Consider the following 10,394-nt stretch of genomic DNA (forward strand, 5'->3'; position numbering starts at 1 on the left):
TAACAATACCACGTGCTGAAGCAGAAATGTGAAGAAATGGGAATTTGCATAGAATCTTGGTGGAAGGGTTAGTTTTCCCACTTATTTCAACTACTTATTTCACATATGCAGTGTTGTACAAATTTAAAGAGACAAGAATCCTACAGACAAGCAATTCTATGTTTATATGCCCTAGAGACCTGAAGACATTCTCAAATACAAAAACAAAGAAGTATGCATAAGGATGTTCATTGCAGGTTTGCTTATAATTGGTGGAAAGTCAGGGGATGCCCATCAGTGCATAAAAAAGTAAATAAAATTGTGTTGCCTTTCTACAATAAATTGTGCAACCATTAAAATAAACTAAATGTCCATATTTCACAAGGACAATTCTCACAACATAATAACAAATGATATGCACTAACTTTAAACTAGTAATTGCATCTGGTGAGGGAAAAGAAAGGTGGACCTGAAGTCAGGTGCAAACAGCACAACTGTATTTGAGTAGTGGTTGCATGACTGTTGTTCCATGTATTTTCTGTATGTTACAAATATTTACTATTAATTATAACAACATAAGATGTACTCTAACTCCTTCATGCTGCTAATTATAGAATATCTACTTTGTTGACTAAACCCTTTAGCATATATATATATATATATATATATATAGCCTATTTCTGTTAATGGTTCTTTGGATAAATAACAGTTGACTTTGTTCCTCTGCTTGGTATTTTAAAAAACCTATTAGTTTACAAATCTCTTACTAATTTTAGTTTTAATATTTGTATTGTTAAGTATTTTAAACACACAGAAAGGCAAATAAACCCCCATTACCCAAACACCCAGCTTTATTAAATCTTAGTATTTTGTCCTATTTGTTTCAATGGTTTTTTTAATAAATCAGTGACTACAATAAAATTGATACCTCTGAATCCTTCCATTTTCTTTTCACTGCCCCCAGATATAACCACCAATGTGAAGTCAGTTTTATCATTGCTATGCATGTTTTTAATATTTTTACTAAATGTTTATGAATTCTTAAACATTATGAAGCATTATGTTATAGAGTTTTTAAGTTTTATAAAATATTATCTAATACTGTTACTTTAAGAAAACCTGCAGTAACCCCTTCTGAAAAAGATTAATCACACGTAATTTGTTACATATTAAAATAACTGCTCCTAAATAGTGATGTGGCCTTGGGCAAGCTCTTTCAAGTTTCTGTGAGCTCCAGCTTTTCCTTATCTGTGTGGTAAAAGAATATGAGACTATGTCTGCGCTCTCTTTCAGATTATAAGTCTCTATAAATTATTCAACTCAAATGTCCCCATGGGTTTACTTAAAGGATAGTTTTGTCCACTTATGAACAACTGTGTTTCATCAAAATCAGAATTTACTGAATGTTCATTCATTTTAACTTTTTTAAGTGGTTTGTCACAGAATTCCTTTCAATGCTGAGATTTTCAAATATATTGCAACCATCGAGAGGACATTCTTGAATATTCACTATAAGCCTGATGCTATGCGAGGTGCCAGAGATACAAGAGGGAACTTGACAGGTACAGTCTGTCTCCCACAAAGCTTATGGCTGAGTTTTTAAAATGTAATTCAAGCTTTTCAGGAATACAGTCAATCCATAAAGCAATAGGGAGAAACATTTCCAATATCAAGAGGCACTGATGAATGAATGTGTGAATAACTAAATTTTGTAACTTTTTTTGTAGACATAAAAATAAGCATTCACTGTGTCATCCTTAAATAAAATCATTGGCAGAGTGTAGCCTATAAATGTCTGGAAATACCTCACCAAAGGCTAGAAGACATTTTGCCAGAAGGAAGTAATGTTTACATTTCTATATTTTGTTTCTTTTTCCTCTACATATGCATTTTGTCCTATGTCTATGTCTCCTTCTTAATAGGCTTTGACATGAACCCAAAGCAAATGTTTCCTATTATTTTATCTATTTATTGAATATACATTGTTTTCTGAATGCTATTCCTTTCATTTACCAGTTCTAGTAGTCTGGGTTTGCTCTTATTTCTCTTTACTCTAAAATGGTTTTTTTAATCTGTAACACAGAACTTAGTGCTTGGTTATATATAGGTAGGCATTGTTTTCTAAAAACACTGGTTTACAAAATGGAATGTGCACACTACAGGGAATGTGCAAATGATCCTTGAGGATACAGGAAGGAAGTGTTAAAGTTTCTATTTATTTTGGTAACTTATAAACTTTCTATTTGTTACAGTGTGAGTTCTGGTGTATATAGTCAAGCCATATGCTAGTACATGGGATAATGTATAAATAAACATGTAAGTGTCGATAAGTACTCAACTCTTTTTTACTGAGAGGGCTTTAGGCTTTTTTTTTTTTTAAGTTTCAATACCACAGTTCAAATGTGTGTGTTGGTCTTATCTATGTAATTGTTTTGTGTGCTCTTTCAGGGAGTGGTGGTGTCTTGTGTCTCTTACTCTGTCCAAAGGACCTTGTATGTATAAATGCGAATAAATATTTATTGAACTCCACTAATAAATGATTCCATTCTTCAGACCATCAAACTAAGGACTACGCTTTGAACATGCTTTGGAAACATTTTCATTAAAGCCAAAATGTCTCAGAAATGTTTAATTAAAAAATAAAATTGGCCGGGCGCAGTGGCTCACGCCTGTAATCCCAGCACTTTGGGAGACCGAGGCTGGCAGATCACAAGGTCAGGAGTTTGGGACCAGCCTGGCCAATATGGTGAAACCCCGTCTCTACTAAAAATACAAAAATTAGCCAGGCATAGTGGCAGGCGCCTGTAGTCCCAGCTACTCGAGAGGCTGAGGCAGGAGAATCGCTTGAACCCAGGAGGTGGAGGTTGCAGTGAGCCGAGATCACACCACTGCACTCCAGCCTGGGAAACAGAGTGAGGCTCTGTCTCAAACAAAATAAATAAATAAAATTAAAAGGGAAGACAAAGATATTTTTCTTTGTACCAGTAGAAGGAAGATTTAATGAAAAATAAACTGCAATAGTAAATTTAGAAGTAATACTGAAAGAGCAACTGGGAAGTCTTAGATGAAGTTGTCACCAGCTTCTTCAAAGCAATGAAATATCCAGTTGTCCCATTTAATTCTCATTTGGTATAATTTTTCATTGATAAGAATAATTCATAATTAACCAGCTTACATATGCTTCTTAAATTTTAGTGTACATAAGAATTGCTAAGAAGTAGGCTTAAATGCAAATTCTCAGGCTCCAGCCCAGGGATCCTAATTCAGCAGTTCTAGAGGTTATTCAGAAATCTGCATTTTCATGAAGTACCCTGGATGATTCTAATGGATGTTGTCTGTAACACAACTTTCAGATAAATGTCCTGTATAAGCATATTCTATCTTGCCATTAGCCATGAGAATTTGATTAAAGAAACAAATCTAAGAACCCAACTACTAGTCTATTACTCCAACCATTCCTTCTTGCCAACTGTGATCAGAAGTATGAAAAAAACAGCCCATGTTCTTCCTTAGAGGAAGACCATATCCCAACTGTGAAATGGTCCAGACATCTTGGAACTGAATATGGATTGTGATCCTGATACCCCCAACCCTCACTGCTCTTCATATACCAGCTGAGCATTTCATAATATTTATTCGATAAACCTTTCCTTGGTCCTGAGCCTCCTTGCTTCCCGACCTACTCCATGTAGCCTGGCTACTCTTATTTCCATGAGGTGGGCTGTCTTCTGGCCCTCCCATCATCCCCAACAGATGTGAACATGAGGGACCTTGGAGCAGGGGTAGATACTCCAGTGCAAAAATAGTGGACACTCACCTCTTCTAAGACCTTTTATCAATCATTCTCTAAACACCTCTCAAACATGTCCTTCCCTTGTATTTCCTCTTTCAGTGGATTAAACCACTGTCCACTCAACTGTCTGAGTGAGAAGATTGGATTCAGTGAGTTTTCAGGTCCTACCAAGTCTATTTCAAAGTGTCATTTCAATGATTTTATTTCCTTTGCTTCTAAATAGTGGCATACATGGATATCAAGTACTGTAGTGGGTTCAAAATTGGAGAAATGGATTTTGAAGTCATCTTTTTGCAGGTACAAGAGAAGCCATATTGAGTCAGTCAGAGAAGAGAAGACAGGAAAAGTAGAATAAAATCTTTAGAATATTCAAAGCATTACACAAATGTAATGTTTTATTATTAACTGTGACTTCATTTTGGTTCCAATTCTGTCCAGAGAAATTTGAATGCTGGAGTTTTGGGAATTTTAAGGCTTTGAGCAAGGAACATTTTATGATCCTCTGCTTACCACTTGTTTATTTACAACAGAATTTCAGCAATGAAGAGAAAGTTATTTTTGTAGGAAAAAAAATCCTACAATGCTTACTTCATACAAATTAGTTGTGCCTTGGGTTCAGATTAACATACACACTCAAAAGACTTGGTGGGCTGTTATACGGCAACTTATTTATTTAGCTTTGTAGAGGAATATTGGATATGGAAACATAGCTTGTCAGCCTGACAGCATTAGACATCTTCATCAGGAGTCTTTATGTATTCTAGATGCTGATTCTTAACCCTCTCATCTCATGGGAATATGCATGGTCATAGTAGACAAGACCACAGGAGTAGGGGAGAGGCACGGGGGAGCCATTCTAGGATGGAAGAATCTCTCACATGACAGGAACCACATCTTATACCAACCCATGAGTGAGGATTCCAAGAAAACAGGCATATTCGGATTCAAGAAACACACCATAACAGAGTCCAGGGCCTACATTTCCCAACAGGTTTTCATACGGGTCTGGTCATATAGGTCCACCAAGTCTAAATGCCTGCCCGCAGTCTGCCCAGCATAGATGTAGTTCACCAACCAGGGGTCATTTCCACACTTATAAATAAATAAATAAATAAATAAATGTGATTTTTTAAAATACAGCTGACATTTCACATTTATCCAAACAGTACATTTCAAAGAAACAGTAAGTATAAGGTAAACTGGAGTTCATCTTCCCATGGGAAAAAAGAGCTTAAAACTGTTGTTAACCCTTTGACCTACCAACAAACATTGCTTACTCCCACTCAAGAGCTCATTCCAGTTAGGACACAACCTGGTGACAGCCCTTCCTGGTAGCAACTACTGAGCATTGCAAGGAGAAGAAATTGGGATGGGTGCCTATAAAGAGAAAAACTCTCTTTTTAACCTTCAAATCTAAAGAAAATCAATCCAACAAGCATTTGCTGCAAACCTAGTGCCAAGCACTGCCACATAGGAAGATGCATCTGCCATCTGTCAAGACAGACTGAGGGAGGAATGGGGGTAGAGACCAATTAGAAAACAGGAAAAAACGAGACCAGCTGGGGACAGCTGCAGCAAAGCACCCTGAGGATACTAAACACCCTCAGTATTTAGCTAGGATGGCCTAAAAGAGCTAATCTGAAAGAATTCATAAATCATATGGATGCTTCTATTATAAATTAGAGGAAAGGCAGATTTATACATCATGAAGCCTATAAGGTAAATATTATCTAGTAGTATGAACATAGCTTCACCACACAGCCTCCTAAAAATCTATGGATACTTTCCTGAAAGTACCCCTGAAGGCATTCCTCCTGGATTCTGTGAAGTAAATTAGCCCTCAAGGTGTACCCAGCAAGGGCTCAATAGAGTGCACAATAAATGCTCAACACACATCTATCTTCCTCCCCTCCCACTATCCAAGCTTCATGCCTACCTCATGAATCTCCAAGTTCCTTTCTCTCCTGTCCCTGGAGCATAGATGAATCAGAATCCCTGCTTGCCACCCCATTGGACACCTTGAAAAGAGACCCTTGGAATGGCTATGACAACACATCAGTCCTGGCTACGAGTGTAAGACCCTGGGCATCAGGAAGCCTCAGGCCATGAGCTATTGAATGTCGCTTGTCACTTTGCCCTTTGAGGACCAGAAATAAAGCTTCCAGTTCCTGTGAAATGGCAAATAGGTAGGTTCAGGCTTCCAGCTCCCTCACCCAAAATTAATTTTTGTAAAGGTAGAGAAGCAAAAGGAAGCAAGGATCTGGGGAGCTGGCAACACCAGAAATAAGTATAAAGTGTTTTTATATTTGCCAGGAGAGACAGAACTGCTGTCTTGAGCTGGTGTGCGTAGAGAATGGGCAGGGCTGCATCCTGGGAGATAAGCCACAGTGGGAGAACAGGCTGCAGGAAGACTTTTTAATTTCTGCACTATGTCCTTCCCAATCGGCTTGGGACAATTGTTGCCTCCCCTTCATACATAAACAGGCTGCAACAGGCCAGGCTACTTGTATCTTCAAGGTAAATCAGTAGGGAACAGATGAAACTAGGGGTGAGCTTTTGGGTATTCTCTTCTCCACTACTCACGACCACTGCCCCAACTCCCAGCGCTGGTGAATCCCAACGTGGAGCACCTGCCTACTCCCAACTGTGCTTTTCCTAGGAGTTGCCTGAAAGAGTAGTGGCAAATGGGGAGATCCACAGTGTTTCTGGGCTCTCTACCAGGGCTGGATCTGGAGGGACACAGACCAGTATTTGACTTTATCTCTTCCCCATTACACATTACCCCACAGACTAGCTGGTGCCCTCCTGGAGACGTGAGCTCACAGATCAACATAATGATATGGCTAAGGAACAAAAAAATTGCAAAACATAGACAACAAATTAACACCATATACTATCTAATGCAGAATTGTGAAGAAGATGAACCAAGAACTTGAAACAAAATGGCAAATATACTTAAGATAATAGAAGATACCAGCAACATAAAGCAAAACCAGTAACTCACAAAAACAAAGACAGAATATTAGATGTTAAAACTATAACAGTAGAAGTTGTAAATACTATAGATTAGACAAGTACCAGGATAAATATAGCTGAAGAATAATTTGTGAGGTAAAAGATAAGATGAAAGATAATCCCAGAAGACAGTAGGAAAGAATAAAGACATCAAAAATATAAAAGAAAGTTCAGCAAAATGTATGCTAGAAATAGAAGTATCAACATCTGAATCATAAGAGAACTCACAGTGAGAGGAAAAAAATATATACGTGAGAAAATAATGACTAATAAATTTACAATTTTTTTTTAATTATGAAAGACCTCAGAGAAAAGGGTTCAAAGGATACTTAACAGGAGCTTCAGAAAAATCCACACCTATGCTCGTTATATTGAGACAAATAAATATTTTTAAAACTTAGAAAGAAGAGTTTATCAACTGGGCACAGTGGCTCACGCCTATAATCCCAGCACTTTGGGACTTTGGGAGGTAGAGGCGGGTGGATCACTTGCGGACAGGAGTTCGAGACCAGCCTGGCCAATATGGTGAAACCCTGTGTCTACTAAAAATACAAAAATTAGCCCCGCCTGGTGGCGTGTGCCTGTAGTCCCAGCTACTCGGGAGGCTGAGGCAAACCCGGGAGGTGGAGGTTCCAGTGGGTGACAGAGTGATACCCTATCAGAAAAAAAAAAAAAAAAAAGAACAGTTTACAAAGGAGTAAGATCAGATTGATGTCAGACTTTTCAACAGCAATGAATGCAAGAATAAAATAAAATAATATTTTTATAGTAGTGAAGGAAAATAAACTGGAGTTTAGAACTTTATATGTATCAAAATTGCTATTCAAGTGAGATGGCATAACAAATTTATTATCATGCAAAGAATCCAAAGGCTCATATTTAAAACACTCTTGGACGTGGTAAAAAAAAAAAAAAAAAAACACTCTTAGAGGAAGTACACAAAAAGAGAATCAAATCAAGAAATTTACAACAAATATAAGGGTGATTTGTCAACAAATCCAGGACCATATTTTTAAAAGAGGGTAAATGAATGTGTGTGTGTGTAATATCTACTTGGTAGGAGAATTGGCATTAGAGGGAGGGAAGTAGAAAATCAAAAGAACATAAGAGTATGCTAAAGAACTTAGGAGGCAAGATATAAATATTAAGGTAGTTAAGACATTTTAAAAGGTAAATGCTCACTGTGTTAAATTAAAGGCAACCACCATAAGAACAGAATCAGTATGTATAACTTTTAATACAGCAGAAAAAAATCAGTCTATCAAATGGAAAGCAAGAAAAGGGAAGAAACATTGTACAATAAAAACAGAATGTGAAATGAGTTGCAAAAGTAAATCTTTACTTCAGCAGTTACCAATAAAAGAACAAAGGCTCTAATAATGGAGGAAAAAGGGAACCAAATCATGTGTGATTTATAACAAATACTCTTTTTTAACTTTTAAGTTCAGGGGTAAATGTGCAGGTTTGTTTCATAGGTAAACTTGTGTCAGGGAGGTTTGTTGTACAGATTATTTCATTACCCAGGTATTAAGCCTAGTATACATTAGTTATTTTTCCTGATCCTCTCCCTCCTCCCACCTCCACCCTCCAATAGGCCCATGTGTGCAGTTCCCCTCTGTGTGTCCATGTGTTTTCACAATTTACCTCCCACTTATAAGTCAAAACATCTGGCATTTGATTTTCTCTTCCTACATTATTTTGCCAAGGATAATGGCCTCCAGCTCCATCCATGTCCCTGCAGAGGACATGATCTCATTCTTATTTATATCTGCATAGTATTCCATGGTGTATGTGTATCACGTTTTCTTTATCCAGTCTATCATTAGTGGGCATTTAGGTTGATTCCAAGTCTTTGATATTGTGAATAGTGCTACAGTGAACATATGTGTTCATGTGTCTTTATAATAGAATGATTTATATTCCTTTGTGTATGTTCCCAGTAATGGGATTGCTGGGTCAAATGGTATTTCTGTCTTTGGGTCTTTGAGGAATTGCCACACTGTCTTCCACAATGGTTGAACTAATTTACACTCCCACCAACGGTGTAAAAACGTTCATTTTTCTCCATAACCTAGCCAGCATCTGTTATTTTTTGACTTTGTAATAGTAGCCATTCTGACTGATGTGAGATGGTATCTCATTGTGGTTTTGACTTTCATTTCTCTAATGATCAGTGATGTTGAGCTTTTTTTCATATACGTGTTGGCTGCATGTATGTCTTCTTCTGAAAAGTGTTCATGTCCTTTGCCCACTTTTTAATGGTTTTTTTTTCTTGTAAATTTATTTAAGATCCTTATAGATGCTGGATATTATACCTTTGTTGGATGCATAGTTTGCAAAATTTTCTCCCATTCTGTAGGTTGTCTGTCCACTCTGTTGATAGTTTCCTTTTTAGTGCAGAAGCTCTTTAGTTTAACTAGATCCTGTTGGTCAGTTTTGCTTTTGTTGCAATTGTTTTTGGCATCTTTGTCATGAAATCTTTGCCAGTATATCCTGAATGGTATTGCCTAGGTTGTCTTCCAGGATTTTTATAATTTTGAGTTTTATATTTAAGTCTTTAATCCATCTTGAGTTAAGGTGGATGGTGTAAGGAAGGGATGCAGTTTCAATCTTCTGCATATGGCTACCCAGTTTTCCCAGCACCATTTATTGAATAGAAAATACTTTCCCCATTGCTTGTTTTTGTCAGATTTGTTGAAGATCAGACAGTCATAGGTGTAGTTTTATTTCTGTGTTCTTTATTCTGTTCCATTGGTCTATGTGTCTGTTCTTGTACCAGTGCCATGTTGTTTTGGTTACTATAGCCCTGTATAGTTTGAAGTTGGGTAGTGTGATACTGCTAACGTTGTTCTTTTTGCTTCAGATTGCCTTGGCTATTCTGGCCCTTTTTTGTTTCACATGCATTTTTAAATAGTTTTTCTAGCTCTGGCCGGGCACGGTGCCTCAGGCCTGTAATCCCACCACTTTGGGAGGCCGAGGCAGGGGGAATCACTTGAGGCCAGGAGTTTGAGACCAGCCTGGCCAACATGGCGAAACCATGTCTCTACTAAAAATACAAAATTAGCTGGGCATGGTGGCGCATGCCTGTAATATCCCAGCTACTCGGGAGACTGAGGCAGGAGAATCGCTTGAACCTGGGAGACAGAGGTTGTGGTAAGCCGAGATCGCACCATTGCACACTAGCCTGGGCAACAAGAGCAAAAACTCCGTCTCAAAAAAATAATAATAATAATAATAGTTTTTCTAGCTCTGTGAAGTATCTCAATGGTAGTTTAATAAGAAGAGTATTGAATCTATAAATTGTTTTGGGCAGTATGGCCATTTTAATGATATTGATTCCTCTTATCCATGAGCATGAGATGTTTTTCCATTTGTTTGTGTCATCTCTGATTTCTTTGAACGGTGGTTTGTAGTTCTCCTTGTAGATATCTTTCACCTCCCCAGTTAGCTATATTCCTAGGTATTTTATTTTTTTTGTGACAATTGTGAACGGGAGTTCATTCCTGATTTGGCTCTCAGCTTGACTGTTGTTTGGTGTATAGGAATACTAGTAATTTTTGCACATTCATTTTGTATTCTGATATTTTGCTGAAGTTGTTTATCAGCT

Source organism: Homo sapiens, chromosome 6 (assembly GCF_000001405.40).
Source record: "Homo sapiens chromosome 6, GRCh38.p14 Primary Assembly".
Taxonomy (NCBI): Eukaryota; Metazoa; Chordata; class Mammalia; order Primates; family Hominidae; genus Homo; species Homo sapiens.